General features: G+C 41.0%; 1 protein-coding gene and 1 pseudogene across 2 annotated transcripts in view; both read left to right on the top strand.

Moving 5' to 3' along the window:
* SLFN12L (schlafen family member 12 like) overlaps positions 1-23,449 on the top strand; it is a 73,425-nt gene that overhangs the window by 11,407 nt on the left and 38,569 nt on the right. For both annotated transcript variants that reach the window (NM_001363830.2, NM_001195790.3), the window contains exon 2: positions 3,303-3,993. In NM_001363830.2, the coding sequence (NP_001350759.2) occupies positions 3,908-3,993 (86 nt within the window). In that variant the 5' untranslated portion in view covers positions 3,303-3,907. The remainder of the gene's footprint in view (positions 1-3,302; positions 3,994-23,449) is intronic.
* On the top strand, positions 11,082-11,507 carry TOMM20P2 (TOMM20 pseudogene 2; annotated as a pseudogene).

The raw sequence follows: 23,449 nt of genomic DNA, 5'->3' as shown, positions 1-23,449 counted from the left end.
TGTTAAAGTCTCCCACTATTACTGTGTGGGAGTCTAAGTCTCTTGGTAGGTCTCTAAGAATTTGCTTTATGAATCTGGGTGTTCCTGTATTGGGTACATATATATTTAGGATAGTTAGCTCTTTTTGTTGCATTGATCCCTTTACCATTATGTAATGCCCTTCTTTGTCTTTTTTGATCTCTGTTGGTTTAAAGTCTGTTTTATCAGAGACTAAGATTGAAACCCCTGCTTTTCTTTGCTTTCCTTTGCTTGGTAAATATTCCTCCATCCCTTTATTTTGAGCCTATGTGTGTCTTTGCACGTGAGGTGGGTCTCCTGAATACAGCACACTGATGGGTCTTGACTCTTTTATCCAATTTGCCAGTCTGTGTCTTTTAATTGGGGCATTTAGCCCATTTACATTTAAGGTTAATATTGTTATGTGTGAATTTGATCCTGTTACTATGATGCTAGCTGGTTATTTTGCCCATAGTTGATGGTTTCTTCATAGTGTCGATGGTCTTTACAATTTGGTATGTTTTTGAAGTGGCTGGTACCAGTTGTTCCTTTCCATGTTTAGTGCTTCCTTCAGGAGCTCTTGTAAGGCAGGCCTGGTGGTGACAAAATCTCTCAGCATGTTCTTGTCTGTAAAGGATTTTATTTCTCCTTCACTTGTGAAACTTTGTTTGGCTGGATATGAAATTCTGGGTTGACGATTCTTTTCTTTAAGAATGTTGAATATTGGCCCCCACTCTCTTCTGGCTTGTAGGATTTCTGCAGAGAGATCTGCTGTTAGTCTGATGGGCTTCCGTTTGTGGGTAACCCAACCTTTCTCTCTGGCTGCCCTTAACATTTTTTTCCTTCATTTCAACCTTGGTGAATCTGACGATTATGTGTCTTAGGGTTGCTCTTCTCGAGGAATATCTTTGTGGTGTTCTCTGTATTTCCTAAATTTGAATGTTGGCCTGTCTTGTTAGGTTGGGGAAGTTCTCTTGGATAATATCCTGAAGAGTGTTTTCCAAATTGGTTCCATTCTCCTCATCACTTTCATGTACACCAATCAAACGTAGATGTGGTCTTTTCACATAGTCCCATATTTCTTGGAGGCTTTGTTCATTCCTTTTCATTCTTTTTTCTCTATTCTTGTCTTCTTGCTTTATTTCATTAAGTTGATCTTCAGTCTCTGATATCCTTTCTTCTGCTTGATCAATTTGGCTACTGATACTTGTGTATGTTTCACGAAGTTCTCGTGCTGTGTTTTTCAGCTCCATCAGGTCATTTATATTCTTCTCTAAACTGGTTATTCTAGTTAGCAATTTGTCTAACCTTTTTTCAAGGTTCTTAGCTTCCCTGTGTTGGGTTAAAACATGCTCCTTTAGCTCAGAGGAGTTTGTTATTACCCACCTTATGAAGCCTACGTCTGTCAATTTGTCAAACTCATTCTCCGTCCAGTTTTGTTCCCTTGCTGGCAAGGAGTTGTGATCCTTTGGAGGAGAAGAGGTATTCTGGTTTTTGGAATTTTCAGCCTTTTTGAGCTGGTTTCTCCCCATCTTCATGGATTTATCTACCTTTTGTCTTTGATGTTGGTGACCTTCAGATGGGGTCTCTGAGTGGATGTGCTAGTCCTTTCTGTTTGTTAGTTTTCCTTCTAACAGTCAGGCCCCTCTGCTGCAGGTCTGCTGGAGTTTGCTGGAGGTCCACTGCAGACCCCGTTTGCCTGGGTATCACCAGTGTGGGCTGCAGAACAGCAAAGATTGCTGCCTGTTCTTTCCTTTGGAAGCTTCGTGCCAGAGGGGCACCCACCAGATGCCAGCCAGAGCTCTCTTGTATGAGGTGTTTGTTGGCCCCTGCTGGGAGGTGTCTCCCAATTGGGATACACATGGGCCAGGGACCCACTTGAGGAGGCCATCTGACCCTTAGCAAGCTCGAACGCTGTGCTAGGAGATCTGCTGCTCTCTTTAGAGCTGTCAGGCAGGTACACTAAAGTCTGCTGACACTGCACCCACAGCCGCCCCTTCCCCCAGGTGCTCTGTCCCAGGGAGATGGGGGTTTTATTTATCTCCCCCAACTTCTTAACATCTCTAAAATCTAGATGTATGTCATAATAGATGCCATCTCCTACTCACTAACATCCACGTTGCAGGCATAATCAAGTTGTGTGAACACCTGGTATGAATGAGAAAGCACAAGCAACAATGAACAATAAACAATTACCAGTAAAGTTTGGGTAATTTCAATTTCAAATTACCACTTACAAATCTTGATTCTGGTTTGTATTCTGCCACTGCCACAATAGGGCAAAAACATTCTTGTTTTTCTCCCTTTGGACCCCATGATCTTTGAAATTTTTTTTTTTTTAAGACAAGTTCTGACTCAGTCACCTAGGCTGGAGTGCAGTGGCACAATCTCAGCTCACTGCAACCTCCGCCTCCTGGGCTCAAGCAATCCTCCCACCTCAGCCTCCTGAGGAGATGGGACTACAGGCATGCACCATTATGCCTAGATCATTTTTATATTTTTTGTAGAAACAGGGTTTCACCATTATGCCCAGGCTGGTCTCGCACTCCTGGGCTCAAGTGATCACCCATCTCGGCCTCCCAAAGTGCTAGGATTACAGGAGTGAGCCACCGCACCCAGCCTAAAATAAGTTTATAACTCTGTAGCACAAGTATATTCTCATGTCACGTAATTGTTCCTTGTTTGCCTGTGACAAAGAGAAGACTTTTGTAATGGGGGGGAGCCTCAGATTGATCTGTATGTGATGCAACAATTCTGCTTCAGGAGAGATAGCTTCAAGGGTCTCCTAGTTGAGGACTGAAGAAAATTAACTGCCAATAAAAGCTTTTACGTAACTTCCTCTTCTCCGCAAATATTGTGCTAATGAGTACCTTCTTCCTGGGAAGGCTCCTGCTACCCCCATTAGTGGGGACTGTTCAGGGACATTTTGAGATTCATGCACTTTGAGAGTGGGATGGGGAATAGGACTCATCTTTTTCAAGCAGCTGCAATGAGCCAGACTCTTTATGTTACTTCATTTATTCCTCTCCATAGGAAATGTGCTATTCTTAGTTTTGTTTTACAAATGAGAGAGCAAAGTCTCAGAGAGGTTAGGTCAAAGGCATAATAAACACATGGGTTTAGATGAGATTTACCAGATATTTCAAAGCTTCTTTTCCTTTATAATTGTAATATAATGTTTATAGAAGAATATTTGAAATATCTGTAATTAATAATCAAATATATTAATCAGTTAATTATAACTAATTGTCATAATCAGTATGATTCTTCTCCTTCCCCTAATTTCTCATTCTTTTCACATCTAGTGCTACCAGGATATTTGCGATGTACTCTGGAATCCCTCTGGAAGGAGCTGTCCTCACAGAATGAAGGATTAGAGGAGTTAATAAATAAGCAAACCCAACCTTTCTCCTGGGGAATTGTGATCCTCTCTAGAAGCTAGGCTGTGGACCTGAATTTGCAGGAGAAGCCAGGAGTCATCTGTGATGCTCTGCTGATAGCATAGAACAGCCCTGGCAGGGCCAGGACTACTGCACTTGCACTGCCCTTACTTTGAAGCAGAAGCTGGTGAACATGGGGGGCTACACTGGGGAGGTGTGTGTCAGGGCCAAGGTCCTCTGCCTGAGTCCTGAGAGCAGCGCAGAGGCTTTGGAGGCTGCAGTGTCTCCGATGGATTACCCTGCGTCCTATAGTTTTGCAGGCACCCAGCACATTGGAAGCCCTGCTGCAGTCCCTCGTGATTGTCTTGCTCGGCTTCAGGTCTCTCTTGAGTGACCTGTGCAGCTATGAGGTTTTAAATCTGCTCACAGCCCAGCAGTATGAGATATTCTCCAGAAGCTTCCACAAGAACAGAGAATTGTTTGTCCATGGCTTACCTGGCTTAGGAAAGACCATCATGGCCATGAAGATCATGGAGAAGATCAGGAATGTGTTTCACTGTGAGGCACACAGAATTCTCTACATTTGTGAAAGTCAGTTTCTGAGGAATTTCATCAGGTAAGCAGTTGGACCTTATGTCTCTAAGTATTATTTAATCTGGGTTTAATTTTCTCTGCTAAGTCACCTTGTCCCTTGAAAATTAAGTGGTAAAATTATCTGTGACAACAAACTGTGTTTAGGAGAGCACAATGGGGTAATTTTTTCTACCTTTTTTTTATTATACTTTAAGTTGTAGGGTACATGTGCACAACGTGCAGGTTTGTTACATATGTATACATGTGCCATGCTGGTGTGCTGCACCCATCAACTCGTCATTTAACATTAGGTATATCTCCTAATGCTATCCCTCCCTCTCCCCTCACCCCACAACAGGCCCCGGTGTGTGTGATGTTCCCTTTCCTGTGTCCATTTTCTACCTTTTTTAGCTAAAGAAAACCGACTCGGGTCATTTTTCATTTTCTTGAGACAGAGTCTTGCTCTGTCACCCAGGCTGGAGTACAGTGGCACCATCATGACTCACTGTAGCCTCAACTTCCTGAGCTCAAGCAATCCTCTCACCTCAGCTTCCTGAGTAGCTAGGACCCAGTTGCCTGCCATCATGCCTGGATAATTTAAAAATATTTTTGTAAAAACAATTATGTAGCTCAAGCTGGAGTGATCATAGTTCACCATATCCCTGAACTCCTGGGCTGAAGTGATCCTCCTGCCTCAGCCTCCCCAATTGCTGGAATTGTAGGCATGAGCCACTGTGCCAGGCTCAATTGGGTTTTGATGGTGCCTGCCTATCTCTGCAATCTGGCTTTAGCTAGCTGGGACTTACTCTATTAAAGATCTGAAAATCCACCCAGCCATGGTAAAATAAAACAAAATGCTTTTAAAATTTAAGTTAACTTTTTATTTTAAAATATTCATAGACTTACAGAAAAGTTGCAAAGATAGTACAGAAAGTTCCTGTGTACCCTTCACTCAGTTCCCTCTTTCATTACCACATTACTGTGGTTCACTTTTCACAACCATAGTACATTGCTGTGAACTAAACTCCGCAATTTATCTGGATTTCCCAGTTTTCTCCTACTCTGCTTGTCTGTTCCAGGATCCCATCCAGGATGCCATATGACATTTAGTAGTTATGTCTCCTTAGCTTCCTTGGATCTGTGATAATTTTTCAGACTTTATTTTTGAAGACCTGGATAGTTTTGAGAAGCCCTGTTCAGGCACTTTGTAGAATGTCCCTTTTGGGTTTGTCTGATGTTTTTCTCATAGTTAGGCTGGAGTTATAGGTTGTCAACTTAAAAATCACACAATTTATAAGTTTAGAAAAGATATTTTATTTATTATAAAGTGTTACAACTTGCAGGCTGGCCATCCTGATTGGGGGGAAGCTTAGACAGAAAGGCAGCACTTTGAGAGAAGGGAGGATGGAACAGGGATTTGTGCTGAATGGCTTGGGCAGTATATATATTCAGCAGGTTATAGGAGGAGATATGAATACTCCTGAGAGGGGGTTGTGCATGTGCATGGAGAGTAAACATGCTTATTGTGTGTAGTGTCCCATGGTCACTTTTTAGTAGAGACAACTTTTTTTTTTTTGAGACCGAGTTTTGCTCTGTCGCCCAGGCTGGAGTGCAGTGGTATGATCTCGGCTCACTGCAACTGCTGCCTCCTGGGTTCAAGCAAATTCTCCTGCCTCAACCTCCCGAGTAGCTGGGACTACAGGCGTGCATCACCAACCCTGTCTAATTTTTGTGTTTTTAATAGAGTACGGGTTTTGCCATGTTGGCCAGGCTGGTCTTGAACTCCTGACCTCAGGTGATCCATCCGTCTTGGCCTCCCAAAGTGTTGGGATTACAGGCATGAGCCATCGTGCCCAGCCAGTAGAGACTAAACTTTATAATTATTACAATTAGACCCTATATGTTTTAACTTTTATATCTATTACAATTAGACCTTACACATCAAAAGTCTTTTCAGGAGAAGAAGGCACTCAAGTGCTCAGAATCGAAACCAGCCAGAAGCAGTCCATGGTTGGTGGTCTTGTTATCAGAAGAAAGTTACTAAAATCAGTCTCTTGTCCAGTCAAAGCTGTAGTTAGGGCTGGTGGAGCAGGTGGTCAGTTGGTTCATGTCTGGCAGTGGATGCGCTGCAGTTGTTTTAATATTGCTTATCTCCAGGCCAGTGTTTGTTTAGCTGATAGAAGAAAAGAAAAAGCTTGTGGCTATTAGAACATAGTTTATTCTTTAAGTGTAGGGACGCGTGACTCAATTCTTGCCTGTCAAGGCTTTAGGTCCTATTTACAACTTGGTATCTTATTGCCACGAAGAGACTGTTCCATCGGTCTTATGATGTTTATTTTAACCTGAGTGCTGGTCAGTTGTTGTGTCTAAACTGCAAAAGAGAGCGGTTATAATGAGGTGCGGCTGACCTGCCATTCCATTATGCTTGCAAATTCAACTTTTAAGGTTTTTCTGGGGTCCCCTTGGCCAAGAGAGGGTCTGTTCAGTGGTTGGGGGGCTTAGGATTTTATTTTTCATACTCAAGATTTTCAAGAGGAAGACCACAGGGATGAACTGTAATTGTCATCATATCATATCAGGGGTGTATGCGATCGACATGTCTTATCATGTGGATATTAACCTTGACTGTATGAGTCAGAAAGTGTTTGCCAGGTTGATCCACCGTATTTACTTTTCCTCCCTCAGGTGTCATAAGTGCAGTTCACACTCAAAGGGTGGGGATTGAAGTGCCACTTCCTTGATGTGGGGAGAGAGGATGTAGCTATTATACATAAGTTATTTGGAATTCTTCTGTATAGGAGACTTGTCTTTTCTCCATTTACTCATTCATTCAATCTTTTACTTGTATGAATGAACTTATAGGTATTTATTTAATATTTTGGGTTATATTTCAATATTACATTATTTAGTTCCTCAAATTGTTCTAGTATTAGCCATTGGAAGCTCTTTCTTTTTTATTTATTTTATTTTGCTTTAAGTTCTGGGATACATGTGCAGAACGTGCAGGTTTGTTACATAGGTATACATGTGCCATGGTAGTTTGCTGCACCCATCAACCTGTCATCTAGATTTTAAGCCGTGCATGCATTAAGTATTTGTCCTAATGCTCTCCCTCTCCTTGCCCCCCTACCCTCTGACAGGCCCCAGTGTGTGATGTTCCCCTTTGTGTGTCCGTGTGTTCTTATTGTTCAACTCCCACTCATAAGTGAGAACATGTGGTGTTTGGTTTTCTGTTTCTGTGTTAGTTTGCTGAGAATCATGGCTTCCAGCTTCATCCACGTCTTTGCAAAGGACATGAACTCATTCTTTTTTATGGCTGCATAGTGTGTACGTGCCACATTTTCTTTATCCAGTCTATCATTGATGGGCATTTGGGTTGGTTCCAAGTCTTTGCTATTGTAAATAGTGCTGCAGTAAACATATGTGTGCATGTGTCTTTATAGTAGAATGATTTATAATCCTTTGGGTATATACCCAGTAATGGGATTGCTTGGTTAAATGGTATTTCTGGTGTTAGATCCTTGAGGAATTGCCACACTGTCTTCCACAATGGTTGAATTAATTTACACTCCCACCAACAATGTAAAAGTGTTCCTATTTCTCCACATCCTCTCCAGCATCTGTTGTTTTCTGACTTTTTAATAATCGTCATTCTAACTGGTGTGAGATGCTATCTCATTGTGGTTTTGATTTGCTTTTCTCTAATGACCTGTGATGGTAAGCTTTTTTTCATGTTTGTTCGGTGCATAAATGTCTTTTTTTTTTTTTTTTTAAATACAGTCTCACTCTGTCTCCCAGGCTGGAGTGCAGTGGCACGATCTCGGCTTACTGCAACCTCTGCCTCCTGGCTTCAAGCAATTCTCCTCCCTCAGCTTCCCGAGTAGCTGGGATTATAGGCACCTGCCACAATGCCCAGCTAATTTTTGTATTTTTGTAGAGATGGGGTTTCACCGTGTTGGCCAGGGTGGTCTCAAACTCCTGACCTCAAGTGATCCACCCACCTCGGCATCCCAAAATGCTGGGATTACAGGCGTGGGCCACCACACCTGGTCATAGATGTCTTCTTTTGAGAAGTGTCTGTTCATATCCTTTGCCCACTTTTTGATAGGGTTGTTTGTTTTTCTCTTGTAAATTTGTTTAAGTTCCTTGTAGATCCTGGATATTAGACCTTTGTCAGATGGTAGATTGCAAAAATTTTCTCCCATTCTGTAGGTTGCCTGTTCACCCTGATGATAGTTTATTTTGCTGTGCAGAAGCTCTTTAGTTTGATTAGATCCCATTTGTCAATTTTAGCTTTTGTTGCAATTGCTTTTGTTTTAGTCATGAAGTCTTTGCCCATGCCTATGTCCTGAATGGTATTGCCTAGGTTTTCTTTTAGCGTTTTTATGGTTTTGAGTTTTACATTTAAGTCTTTAATCCATCTTGAGTTAATTTTTGTATAGGTGTAAGGAAGGAGTACAGTTTCTGTTTTCTGCATATGGCTAGCCAGTTTTCCCAGCATGATTTATTAAACAGGGAATCCTTTCCCCATTGTTTGTTTTGTCAGTTTTGTCGAAGATCAGATGGTTGTAGATGTGTGGTGTTATTTCTTAGGTCTCTGTTCTGTTTCATTGGTTGATGTATCTGTTTTGGTACCAGTGCTATGCTGTTTTGGTTACTGTAGGCTTGTAGTATAGTTTGAAGTTAGGTAGTGTGATGCCTCCAGCTTTGTTCTTTTTGCTTAGGATTGTCTTGGCTATATGGGCTCTTTTTTGGTTCCATATGAAATTTACAGTAGTTTTTTCTAATTCTGCAAAGAAAGTCACTGGTAGCTTGATGGGAATAGCATTGAATCTATAAATTACTTTGGGCAGTATGGCCATTTTCACAATATTGATTCTTCCTATCCATGAGCTTGGAATGTTTTTCCATTTATTTGTGTCCTCTCTTATTTCCTTAAGCAGTGGTTTGTAGTTCTTGAAGAGGTCCTTCACGTCCCTTGTAAGTTGTATTCCTAGGTATTTTATTCTCTTTGTAGCAATTGTGAATGGGAGTTCACTCATGATTTGGCTCTGTGCTTGTCTGTTGTTGGTGTATAGGAATGCTTGTGATTTTTTTTTCTCTGCCCCAGCCCTAAAATCAGCCATTTCTCCAAGAAGCTCTGGTTCCTTTTACTGAAGAATGGCAAAAACCAAGATCTGTGCCCTCACTGCTATTTGTTTGTTTTCTTAATTTGTTTATGTTGACTATTCTGGCTTTTGCGGGATGTCACTGTATATGACTGCAGTGCCCATGGCACACATTAGCCATGTGTAGAAAATTAGTGCTTGCTATGTGGCTGGTGCAAATTGAGATGACAAGTAAGTGTAAAATAGACACTGGGATTCAAAAACTTAGTATGACAAAGAATGAAAAATTACATGAATCATTTTTAAATGGATTACGTGTCAAAATGATAATATTTTGGAAATATTTAGTTGAATAAAATATTTTATTAAAAGTAAAGCTGCTTATTTATTTTTACCTTTTAAAAATGTGCTTACTATATTAAAATCACATTTATGTATTGCATTATATTTCTGTTGGATGGCACTGGTATATGGATCATTAAAATAGGTCTGCTCATTGTTAAAATTAATCTGCTCATCATTAGACTAGACCAGTGGCTCTCAATAGAGTGGAGGGGGTGGTGGATTTTGCCCTCCAAGGGACATAATATCTGGAGATATTTCCGGTTGTCACCCCTTGAGGGGAGTGTGTTAATGGTACCTGGTGGATAGAGGCCAGGGATACTGCTGAACATCCTAGAAGGTACAGGATAGCCCCCCACAACAAACAATTTTCCAGCCACAAATCTCAATAGTGTCAAGGCTGACAAATCCTGTACTACAAAAAGAAGGAGTATAGTTCTATCCTTCTTAAACACGTATTCCAGAATGGAAAGGCAGAACTGGTTAGAGTTTTAATCTGATCAAAGTGATGGAATGTTTTGCTTTAGGACAACTAATGCCTGGTGCACTGAGGTTCCTATATGCTGGGGAGCTGGAAAATGGAATGAAGAATCTTAGAGGATTCCATGCCCCTAGTAGGGACCCCAACCTTTTTGATGCTGAAGTAATAGAGTTGCAAAAACTGTTTGTTCTTGTGAAGTGGTAGTGATATGTGAAGGACAACTAAGGGAAATAGTTTCCTCAGAAAGATAAACTATCTTCAGTGGATATTAGAAAATAAGGATATTAATGTCTCTCAAATTCTATGGTCCTATATTGATCAGTTTGAAGATGTTACTAAGTGTTTATATAAATCTAGTAGAGGGGGTCTCTAAGAATCCCAGGGAAAAAATAAGAAATTAAGCCCAAAACATCCAATTCTTTAAATATGCTAACTCTTTAAGAAACACTGGCGGGGTGCGGTGGCTCACGCCTGTAATCTCAGCACTTTGGGAGGCAGAGGCGGGTAGATCACGAGGTCAGGAGTTCGAGACCAGCCTGGCCAACATAGTGAAACCCTGTCTCTTCTAAAAATACAAAAATTAGCCGGGTGTGGTGGTGGGCTCCTGTAATCCCAGTTACTCATGCGGCTGGGTCAGGAGAATCGCTTGAACCTGGGAGATGGAGGTTGCAGTGAGCCAAGATCGTGCCACTTCACTCCAGCCTGGGCAACAAAGAGCAAAACTCCATCTCAAAAAAAAAAAAAAAAAAAAAAAAAATTGCCGGGCGTGGTGGCCGCTCCTGCAATCCCAGCTACGCAGAAGGCTGAGGCGAAAGGATGGCTTGAGTCTGGGAGGCGCAGGTGGCAGTGAGTTGAGATCACGCCACTGCACTCCAACCTGGGGTGACAGAACGAGAATAGGTCTCAAAAACAAACAAGCAAAAAATCAAAACAAACAAATAAACTAAAACAAAAGAAACACTCTCCAGGCATAGAGAAAATAATATAAACTCAGTGGTAATCCTATACACATGACTCTCTCTCAAACTTGCACAAATATAGTAAATGAACTAACGATTTTAATCTTCAGAACCCTGGATCTTGCTTTCCAAGTGCCTGTCCCGCCGGCGTCGGGTCTGAGCGGCTCCCTGTGCTCGGATGGTTTGTGGGCAACCGCTCCTTTCCCCCACCGCCGCAGTCCACACTCAGCGTTCTGGGGAAGAGGCTGGGTCGGAACGGAGCCATCGCCGCTGGAGTATTCGGGGCCCTTTTCATCGGGTACTGCATCTACTTCGACCGCAAAAGACTGAAGTGACCCCAACTTAAAGAATAGGCGTCCAGAATAAAGAAAGAAACAGAAGCTGGCCGAGGAGTGAGTTGAGCTTTCCAAGTTAGCTGACCTTAAAGATGCTGAAGCTGTCCAGAAATTCTTCCTGGAAGAGATATAGCTTTGGTGAAGAGATCCTAGCTAAAGGTGTAGACCACCTGACAAATCCAAGTGCTGTGTGTGGACAGCCACAGTGGTTACTGCAAGTGTTACAACAAACTCTTCCACTACCAGTGATCCAGATGCTTCTGACAAAGCCCCTACCAGTTAATCAGAGACTTGTAAGTGCTGGCGCTTGGCCAAAGACGATGTGGAATGAGAAACAAATGTCAACATAATAAAATCTCAGTTAAAATACTTGAAAAAGTCTTAACTTGGTAGTTGAGCAGAAGGGCAAATATGCTTGTTATGAACTATTCTACATTGAAATCTACCAAAGTTAATGTTTACTTTGTGTAAATCCATTTGGTTCATTTATTTTTCCCAGTGAAAAGCATATTTTGATAGAGATCTTTTCATTTTTTAAGTACACTATGAGCTACTGAAATATCACAGATTTTGTTCATTTCTAAAACATGAGATTAAAATGTGCATATGGCCTTGCTTATGTTGAAAACACCCAGGGCTCAGTGTTGAAAGATAGGCAGAAAAGTGTAGGAGAAACTGAAGAATGCACATTTTTACGGCTAGTGCATTATGCTATAAATCAGAAAATTTGATAGAGACTTGATCGTGTTTGTGAAAACTGAGGATTAAAATTTTGAGGTGATGATTCCATTTAATCTCTTAGACATAAATCTGCGAGGTGTGCTGTTGTGCTGTGTTAACATTACCACCTTCCAGTGTGTCAGTCTTGAAATGTTTTGTTTAAATCAGTGAGCTTAATGTGTTCTAAGCAATTATCTCCTTGCATTTAAAATATAAGTAGTTGCAAACAGCACCAGGAATTAGATTTATGTATACCCCAATCAAGCTTTGTGAGCTCACTTTCCTCAATGTATTGAACGAGGGAGTCGGAGTCCATTTGCTGATCTGCAAAGTGTCCCTTTCAGCTTCTCGGTCATTTGGTTCTGTTTAGTATCTTCATATCCACCTTCATCTGAGGAACGTATGTTGGCAACCAGGCCTTGCCTTTTTTAATATTCTGAATTTCGCGTGCTTGCCTGACTTAGTATTTCCAAATTTATCTTTTTTCAATGATACAACTCTATTGTTGATTTTCACTGAAATTATGATTCTGTCACTACTCTGTAAATTAATCTGAAACTTAACTTTTAAGGTAACCGCGATGATCTACTTGTAAAAATGTTTGCTGCGTTTTGCTTTTATCTTCAATGTACCTCCTAAGTCCTACTTCAACCTGATTAATTTATCCTGTTAAACAATGAAAGTAAGGTGTGACCTTGTGACTGAAGACCTGAAAAGAATGGAGAGGGTGGGACCTCTTATTCTCAAATAGTGACATATTATCTGCAGTCACAGACTCAGTTTCAGAACGACAGTAAGGATACTTGGTGGCATCTGTTGGTACTTGGTGGCATCTGTTGGTACTTGGTGGCATCTGTCGAACTGAGCAGCATTTCTCATTGTACAGATAGCTTTCATTCTGCCTAAAAATCTGTGGGGAGATCCCAAAGACTTTTCCTATGTACTAGGCATTTCATTTTGGTTTACTTACAAACTCTTTTTAAGTGTCATTAACCTTGTTTTTTTTTATGGTATAGTGGAAAGAGAAATACAGTTCCAGTGTCTCCCTCTGGTCAGCTGCACAGCCTCGGGCAAGTCACAGTTCATCTCTGAACTTACCTGTAGTATATATAAGTGAACATTTGACTAGGTGACTCACACATTTGAGGATTTTCTCAGATACCTTGTGGGTTTGCCATCCTTATCCCTTAAACAGTACTTTTGATGATGAGGCACAATATCATTTTCAGGGGAGATGACCAGCACAAACATACCAGATAGTCAGTTTTACTAATAGGATCCCAAATCCACCCCAGTGCAGTGGTGACTGGTCAGTGACTGACCAGGCAGTGAAGAAACCTTTTGCACTAGCCCAGATATAGATAGAGGGACAGTCAAAGGGCAAATAGAGGAGGGAAAGGGAGCAAGGGGCAAACAGCTCAGCTGGGAAAGAACGGGCCCAGAGAAAGGGGGGTTGGCTGGAGGAGTGAGGGGGCAACTTAGGTTCGGAGAGGGTAGAAACACTATGTCCTTGAAAACTGTAGTGCAATATAAACTTGGTATCACTTGGCTCAAAATAATTGGCTTTGGTCTAATGCCTGAAAAGGCAGTGATATCGTCTTCATTTCACAGTTGATTAAGCCAAGTGCATTTTCTTATTTAAATGACAACTTCAGTGCTTTAAAATTACACACTACCTTTTAAAGCTAGCAGTGTTAAGTTAAAGAAAAAAGGCTGGGCACGGTGGCTCACGCCTGTAATCCTGGCACTTTGGGAGGCCGAGGCAGGCGGATCACAAGGTCAGGAGATCCAGGCCATCCTGGCTAACACAGTGAAACCCCGTCTGTACTAAAAATACAAAAAAATTAGCCGGACATGGTGGCGGGCGCCTGTGGTCCCAGCTACTCAGGAGGCTGAGGTAGGAGAATGGTGTGAACCCGGGAGGCGGAGCTTGCAGTGAGCTGAGACCACGCCACTGCACTCCAGCCTGGGCGACAGAGCGAGACTCCGTTTCAAAAAAAAAAAAAAAAAAAAAAAATCAGCTCTTTTTTAAATTCTCTCCCAGAAACACAATTGCCACTTTCTGTTCCCATCTTAAGTTTACCGGGTGATAGAACCAAGTCCCTGAGGTAGGAGAATGGTGTGAACCCGGGAGGCGGAGCTTGCAGTGAGCTGAGACCACGCCACTGCACTCCAGCCTGGGCGACAGAGCGAGACTCCGTCTCAAAAAAAAAAAAAAAAAAAAAATCAGCTCTTTTTTAAATTCTCTCCCAGAAACACAATTGCCACTTTCTGTTCCCATCTTAACTTTACCGGGTGATAGAACCAAGTCCCTGTGGTGATGCTGGCCAAATGCTGCTCAGCAGGTGAGAACAGAAAAACAAAACAAAACATAACAAAACCCAGATTTCAGTGGAATGATAAACAGCTTGAATGTTTCCATGTGCTAACGTTGTACACTTACAAAAAAAACTTTGGAAGTGGAAAATATGTATTAGTGCCATGTTGACAATGTATCTTTAGGCAAGGATACATTGTTTGTTTCCACAATTTGTACTTAAAGTGAAAGCACATGTAAAACATAGACTTAGCTGGCCCTGGAATTGCTGTTATGTTTTTTATTTATTTTATTTTGTTTCATTTTATTTAGAGATGAAGTCTTGCTTTGTTGCCCAGGCTGGAGTGCAGTGGCACAATCATAGCTCACTGCCACGTCAAATACTTGGGCTCAAGGGATCCTTCCACCTCAGCCTCCTGCTCCTGAGTAGCTAGGACTATAGGGGCTCTGTGTGTGTGTGTGTGTGTGTGTGTGTATGTGTGTGTGTGTAGAGACGAGGTCTCACCATCTTGCCCAGGCTGGTCTCTAACTCCTGGGCTTAAGGGATCCTCCTGCGTCAGCCTCCCAAAGTGATGCTTTTCTATTAACAGACAACTAGAACTTATGTCACACTTAATTTATGTAAAGTGTGTAAAACCTAGAATAGTGTACATAGTAAATATTTGATTCCTTTTACCCATGAGTAAGTTTATTTTACCATCTTCTTGCCTATCTTTCTGACCTTGTTGAAACAACCTGAGGACCAGAGTATTAATGAAATGTTATTGCAGAAGAGATTATGAGAAAATTGGTATATACTACAAATATCATACAAAATCTTGTAAGAAATGCAGTTTTATTATCGCTTCAATCTTAATTGTTTAAGTGACTATTAAAGGGATTGGAGAAAAAGAAAAGAACTCTGCATCTTAAAATGTTTTCTACTAGAAAAAAATTACAATTGAGAAATACAATCTTTAGTTAAATGTATACATTACAGTCAAAATAGAATAAGATAAACATGAAAATCAATGTAAAAACAAAAGAGTAGTAAAGTTTAAACAATATTGCATCTTTCTAATATACGCCATTTCTCTCTCTCAACAGTTTGAGTTAAAAAAATAGGAAAATCTGACTAGAACTATGGTCAGTGCTGATGAAGAAGCAAGACATTCAAAGTAACTTCAGGTCAGATATTAGTAGTAATTAAATAATTTAGGAATCCTTTCTCTTCTTTTTTTTTTTTTGCTGTGAATTCAGTTTTATTTGGCATAATTAACAGAGAAAATTTTATGCTTCCATAGGAGATTTTGGTTACTGTTTTCCTTTTTTTAAAACTGAGATATAATTGCATACTATATAATTAATTCTTTCAAAGTGTACAATTCAATAATTTTTAGTACATTCACAGAGTTGTGCAATGATCACCACTATCCACCTCACAAAGAAATGCAACATCCATTAGCGCTCACTCTCATTCTCCTTGTCCAGCCCCTGGCAACGTCTCCTCTCCTCTCTGTCTCTATGGACGTGCCTATCTGGATATTTCCTATAATAGGAATAACAGCGTGTGACCTTTTATGACTGGCTTCTTTCACGTAACATAAAGTTTTCAAGTTCATCCGTGTTGCAGCCTGCATCAGTGCTTCATTTCTTTTTATGGCCAAATAATATTTCACTGCATGCATACACTACATTTTATTTATTCATTCATCTCGATAGACATTTGGACTGTTTCCACTTTTTGGCTGTTGTGGATAATGCTTCCATGAATATTCATGTACAAGTGCCTGTGTGCACATATGTTTTCAATTCTCTTGGATTTATGTCTAGAAGCGGAATTGCTGGGTATGAACACCATTTCAAATACTGCTGAAATATTGTATCCACTGATTTATGTAATAGTTATTGCTTTGAAAAGATTAAAGCAGAAAGTGGAAGCTGGCTTTTTAATTTGACTTACATGGCTGTTTTGTACTTCCTATCATCTCATTAATCCATGTGGTTCCACTACTTGCTTTTACCAGTTTGGCTTCTATAGGTATGTGAGTTTATGGCTCCTCCATTAAGAGTCTCTATTTTTTGGCCGGGCGCGGTGGCTCACGCCTGTAATCCCAGCACTTTGTGAGGCTGAGACAGGAGGATCATGAGGTCAGGAGATCGAGACCATCTTGGCTAACACGGTGAAACCCCGTTTCTACTAAAAATACAAAAAATTAGCCAGGCGTGGTGGCAGGCACCTGTAGTCCCAGCTACTCGGGAGGCTGAGGGAGGAGAATGGCATGAACCCAGGAGGCGGAGCTTGCAGTGAGCTGAGATCACGCCACTGCACTCCAACCTGGGGGACACAGCGAGACTCTGTCTCAAAAAAAAAAAAGAGTCTCTTTTTTTAAAATATTTAATATTTCATTTCAAAATAATACTATGAGTTTTAATTATGCGTTCTACAAGGAAAAAATAAAAGTCCAAATTTTCACTGGAGAAACATTAAACACCAACTACTGTAACTAATTTATGCCTGGCTTTCCCCCCAAATGCTCATTGTCAGAAACCAAAGAGAAAACTTCCCAAATTGCTGTGACTAAATGGGCGGGCATGCAGAAATCCCACACAGGAAGCCCCTCAACAACAGAACAGAAGAATCTCAGCTTTAGTTCTTTAGTTTAAAAAAAGTTTATTCTTAAAAAAGGCAGAGGCTGGCGAGCATCTGCAGTACTTTCAATATGAACAATGGTGGAAAGCCAGAAGTATTTAAACAAAACCACCATTCCAATGACATCTTTTGCTCTTTTCTTGATGGATATCCAACTGTTTAAGCCTGAGACACAAACGTCACCCTTGGTGCTTCCTCTCCCTCATCCCCTACAGTAATCTAATAACTGAGCTCTTCTCTAGTCCATCCATGCCTCCTTTTCCACTGTCACTACCTTAGTTTGGCTGTCATAATTGCTCATATAAGACACTGTCATCACATCACTTCCTGTCTTAGCCCTTCTCCTAACTCCAGCCATACTTAATTTCTTTCAGTTCCTGGGATTCCTCACTCTGTTCCTCACTTTTGAGTCTTCAGATAATACCCAGAAATATATATAGGACAAGTCACAGAGCTAGTTTTCAGTAGTGGCCAGAGTCTTAAAATGTTTTATTTTGGTCTACTGTTACAAGATGTCATAATGCTATCTTCCTTAATATTAATTTTTAATGCCCAGAATAATCCCAAACTCTGTATCATCAAAGCTAATAAGGTCAGTATAAATATTATTTTTTGTATTTACAGAAAACTGAAAGAAAATGCAGGCAATATTCCTCAGTTTTATCAGAAAAACTGTCTCCAAGGAAAAGAGAACTGTCTCCAAGGAAAAGAGAAGTTTGAAAATTCAAATATAAATGTAATAAAAATATTTTGGAGAGTACTATAAAATTCTAGAAATTAGGCTGGGCACAGTGGCTCATGCCTGTAGTCCCAGCACTTTGGGAGGCCAAGGTGGGCAGATCACGAGGTCAGGAGATTGAGACCATCCTGGCTAACACGGTGAAACCCCGTCTCTACTAAAAATACAAAAATAATTGGCTCAGCATGGTGGCGGGTGTCTGTAGTCCCAGCTACTCAGGAGGCTGAGGCAGGAGAATGGCATGAACCTGGGAGGCGGACATTGCAGTGAGCTGAGATCGTGCCACTGCACTCCAGCCTGGGCAACAGAGTGAGACACCGTCTTGTAGCAGGATGAGCTGCAGACAAAACCACTCAGACACCGAGTTGTAGAAGGAAGAGCTTTACTCCACTGGGAGCATCAGCAGACTCACGTCTCCAAAAACTGAGCTCCCCGAGTGAGCAATTCCTGTCCCTTTTAAGGGCTTACAGCTCTAAGGGGGTCCACATGAAAGGGTCGTGATTGATTGAGCAAGCAGGCGGTACATGACTGGGGGCTGCATGCACCAGTAATCAGAACGGAACAGAACAGGACAGGGATTTTCACAGTGCTTTTCCATACAATGTCTGGAATCTATAGATAACGTAACTGATTAGGTCAGGGGTTGATCTTTAACCAGGCCCAGGGCACGGCACCAGGCTATCTGCCTGTGGATTTCATTTCTGCCTTTTAGTTTTTACTTCTTCTTCTTTGGAGGCAGAAATTGGGCATAAGACAATATGAGGGGTGGTCTCCTCCCTTATTCCCCCTCTTTGAGAATCTCACTCATTAGTGGGAGTTCTCACTTTCATTCTCACTACCCATGTCTTCTTGTAAGACAGATCGATAGTGATTCATATAGTACACTTGTGCTGAAGCATTTTGGTAAACTAAGGTAGTGATGAAGCTTTTTATCATTTGAAGAAGTATGGGTAGCAAACAAGGGAGCAGTAAGCAGGTTTCTATTACTATTATAACTCCTATTATAAGAGTTTTAAATCTTCTTAGCACTGGGAACCATTTTTCAAACATGGCCCCAGGATCAAATCCATGCCACACTTGCATGGGCACATGTGCCAATTTTGTTATATTTCTAACTATGTCTTCAACTGCTTGCCCTGATCATCTATGTGTAGACAGCAATTAGTAAGGTTAAATTTCCTACAGACCCCTCCTTCAGCTGCTAGCAAGTTGTCAAGAGCCAATCTATTTTGATAGATAGCATTTCTCATCTGAGTTTCTTGCTGGGCCAGAATAGTCAAGGCTCTGCCAGTCTTATTAGTGATTATTTCTAAGATAGCTTGTAACCATATGATTTGGTTGAGTATGTAAATGGGAGTCTGGAATCCCTATGAGCCATCTTGTGCCCAAGTAGCAGGCCCATAATATTATATTATTCTTTCAGGGGGCCATTCATCATCTTTCCAATTTCCTATAGCTATGCTTCTCTTTTTGCAGGAAGCATAGACAGGGAAGCCCAGGAGTTCACCTGTCTTTATGGGCAGTAGGAAGAAAGATGGTTTAATAGTGCCAATAACACAACTACCTGCCCACTGGCCGGGTAATTTGGTGTAAGCTCTATGCACACATATCCAGTATAATCCAGTGGGGGCTGTCCAGTCCTGGTGGGACTCTGGGTGGGTCCACACAGTTTGCAACTTTGGGAATTAACTAAATGGATTTTTCTTAGTGTGGTTTGAACTCCACCAGGTGGCTGTTTTTGTAGTACTATTATACAGTTTTTGCCCAAGGCAGCTGAGTCTTCCCACAGGAAGGGTGAAGTCCTTCCCCACTCTTGCTATACAGTATTGTCTAATGATTGAGGCTTTTAGGACCTAGAAGTTATCAGGGTGAGTCTTTTGAGCTGGGAATTTATCAGGAACTGGGTCTGTAGGTACTAATTCTCGGGCTTCCCATGGCCATTGATCTCCCATTACAGTTCCTCCACATACATAACATGAAGTGACATTGAGAGACTGGGCTACATGCTCGGCTTATTGCAAAAACAAATTTCTTGTTTTTCCTGGAATTTCTGGTACTGGCACATTTAGTTCATCATAGAAGATTTGAAATACTGGCTCAGGAGAGCATTTATAAACTTCTCCTCAAACCACGATATTTACTCGAGGATCCAGTCCAGCCCCATCAATTTCTAGGGTTACATGCTCCCCATTTTTTCAGCAAGGATCAAGGGGATTGGTTATTACTAGTTCTAAGGGGTTACACTGACCACTGGTACAGGAAGGGCCACTTTCCCTTTCTGAAGGTGGACAGGATTCTTTTTATTTTTTATCCACATAGCCTAAATGACACAAGACCAGTATCTACATTTATTTCCACACAGTCCTAATTCATGACAAATGTACTTATTTTCTGCCATACAGCCTCTTTCCTAATTAAGAGAACCACATCATGTTTCTAACTTATTACTATTAATGACAGCACAGGCATCAAATTTCAAGGTGACTTGTTTGGGAATCCCTTTTCTTTCCTTCTGTTTTGGCTAACACTTTACTCATATCATTTATGAGCCCCCACCAGTCCTCAGTACTTAATCTTATTTTTAAAACTGTGGTCATGGGAGGCTCAGATGGGTCATAACACACATCAGGTTGGTCATTTCCTGGGCTACATACCTTGTATAGAATAGCATTATACAAACAAGTTCTTTTTACAGTCCCAGTACACTTACAATAAGCATAAAATAAGACTGTAGCAACTTTTTGTCCTACCTCTGTGACTTGATATATACACTGGGAACAGTCCTCAGTCTGAGGAAGGTCAGTTGAAGTACTTACTATACAAGTCCAAATTTTAAGGAAAATGAGTCCCATGAAGAGTTTTCTCATGCTTCAGCCATGCGTGGACCAGTTAGCTTCTGGGTGTGACTGGAGCAGGGCTTCTCGTCTTCTTCAGAGTCACTTTACAGGGGTTGGCGAAGCTGCTCCCATTCATGTACCGCTCACAGTCTACTGTTCAAGGGTGGTCTTGGAGATTGGTCCCACTAGAATAAACGGAGTCCAATACCTCTACACAGTTATGTTCAACTGGGCTTTCTGATACTGGGAGCAAGGTGGCAGGGTTTAGGGTGTTGCAAAACTCAATGGTTATGCGGGGATTTTCACATAGCAAGCTTTGGTACTTGGTTAATCTAGCATTTGTTAGCCAATGATGTATTCATGAAAGTCACCATAGCGTGGGGGGCCTTTAAGTTTAGGTTTTGCCCAAGAGTTAGCTTATCCACCTCTTGTGCTAGCAGAGCTGTTGCTGCCAAGGCTCTTAAGCACAGGGGCCAACTCTTAGAAACTCCATCTAGATCTTTGACGAGGTAGGCAGGCCTCAGCCAGGGCCCCACAGTCTGGGTCAAAACTCCATCTGCCACTTTTTTTTCTCTCTGACACATATAGTGTTAAAGATTTTGTCAGGTCATGTAGCCCCAGGGCTGGGGCCGACATGAGTTTTTCTTTTAACTCATGAAAAGCTTGTTGCTGTTGGTTTTAACAGATGTAGTTTATCCAATCTACATTTTTATTAACTGTCACCCACCGAAATATTGACTCAAATCCTGCAGCTATTTGATTTTGGGCTTTAAATTGATCTGGTATTCCTCATGGGACTTCAATTGCATCTAAATAGACGTGAGAGTTGAAAGACCCATAAGGGGCTTCTCTTGCTTTATGATATCTTATTTTTCCTCCCTCTGGTTGATGAAATGCCAGGGTGAAAGGGATAGCCAACTGGACTAAAGTACAAGTACCACTCCAGTTATTGGGCACAGTGCCTAGTAAAGGTCCACCACAATACCACCACACATCTGCTCAGGGATGAACAAGGGCTGACTGATTGATAAGCTCTTGAAAATTCTTAAGCTCATTGCATCCCTTCAGGTCTCCAAAGAAGGCTAAGTTTCCTCCCTGTCGTGAGAGACAAGAAGTGAACTTAGTGTTGGGAGATGGAAGCTGGATGTCCCCTGGGGGCTGACCCACAGGGTGCTGGACTTTGGGATATAGCAGAGGGAGCTTGGCATGACTGATTACTCCAGGCTGTAGAATCCTGGAAAAGAGCTACCATGCAGCCCATGCCTGGTCGACTGGAGGACCACCCCAGTGGAAAGGGGACAATCTGGGCCTCTGGACTGCCATGTGCACAAGCATAACAATTGCTTTTGTTTTATGTGTGGACAGAATATTTGATCCATTTCAACCAGGCATTTGCATCTTGGCATCCTGCTTAATTGCCAAAGTTTGTTTTCAGTCTTTAACGTCTATGATCCTCTAGTAAAATGAATGTATGATTTTAGGAAATTACAAAAACCGGTTGGGGCAGTCCATCCTTGCTCTTTAGTGGTCCACAGAACATTGGACCAACTACAGCATAAAAACTCTCTACTGGGGGGCAAGACTCCTGATTGACACTGGGGTTTTTAATCAAAATCTCCCTGGATTAAATGGTCCCAATTTATTAATGCCCAGTCTGAGGAGAGTCAGGAGGGACAGAGGTACTTTTCTGAAGTAGAGAGCTGTCTTTGACTTGGCAAGTCCCCACAGGGTATAACAAGGCAAGCATTAAATGCAATAGTTTGAGGCAAAATTGACTTGGTTATGTTAATAACTAGATGGTCAGAAATAGAGTGAAGAAAGAAGAAAGAGCGATAGAATAGAAGAAGGAGTTAAACTTTTCTTAGCTTTAGTTTTGTAGGGTTTTCTCCTGGGACTGTGGCCCACAACTCTGGAGGGGGTGGTGCTTTCTTGGCTTGGGTGTGATGAGTCCATTCCTTTTCTGCTGTATGAACAGCAGTCTCGGTGGATAGCAGCACAAGGTAGGGTCCTTCTCAGGCTGGCTCGAGTTTTTTTCTTTCCACCCTTTGATGAGAACATGATCTTCAGGCTGGTGCGGGTTTACCAGAAATTCTAGGGGTGGTACATGTGCTAAAAGACTTTTAGTTTTGAGGGAAAGGAAAGTGGAAGATAAAGCAAGTATGTAATTATTTTTTAAAGAAATTGACCTTTTGTTTTAAATGTGGGGACATCGGCAGTGGACTTTATAGTCCTTGGTGCCTTTCTACTACGAAATTTCCTTTAGTACCTATTTTTTATTAGTTTTTAGACCAAAGAAGCCAAACACTATTTTATATTTGACAATTCTTCTTGTATGATTTTTATACCAGATAAGCTAAATTTCACCTTTATATTAGTATGCTATTAATGTTAAAGTTAGTTTTAATAAAACTTTGTAGGCATATTTATTCAATTTTTAATGTCGGACCATTAGGTAAGATTTTTATAGACTCTTTTTAACCTTTTATAATCTTTGTTAAAGAGCAGGTTAGTGCTTTAAGAGAAACCTGTTGTGTTTTTACTTTAATGTCCAGTTCTCAGAAAAACTGGATGATACCCCTTTAACTTTAGCTAATATATTTACACACAGAATTTACACACAACTAACATTTGAAAACTTGCTTAAACCTTTAAAACATTTTTTTAACCCTTTAATGTAGGTAAAAAGTCCACATTCTTATGTCTCCTTATAATCCCTTTACCAAAGGTATACTTTACTTTCCTTATACACCTTGCACAAAACTGTCTCTTCAATAGTTTTACATTCAGGAGGCCTAATTACTTTTAAATTATACAACATTTCTTGCATAAATTCTTTTTCTAACACACTTTTTTTTATAACTTTTTTTCTCTTTCACGACTTTCACAGACAATTCTTCAACATGCCTCAGCTGTCTGACTTATTACAAACATTTCTTTCTTTAAACAACCGGTTAATTTATTTCAGGACAAGAATTTACCATATAACATTATTTTTGCATAAATTCTGCCCCCCTTTTTTTCCTGAAGAT

This window comes from Homo sapiens, chromosome 17 (assembly GCF_000001405.40).
Source record: "Homo sapiens chromosome 17, GRCh38.p14 Primary Assembly".
Classification (NCBI taxonomy): Eukaryota; Metazoa; Chordata; class Mammalia; order Primates; family Hominidae; genus Homo; species Homo sapiens.
The sequence above is the reverse complement of the archived record's forward strand: the minus strand, read 5'-3'. Positions and strand labels throughout refer to the sequence as shown.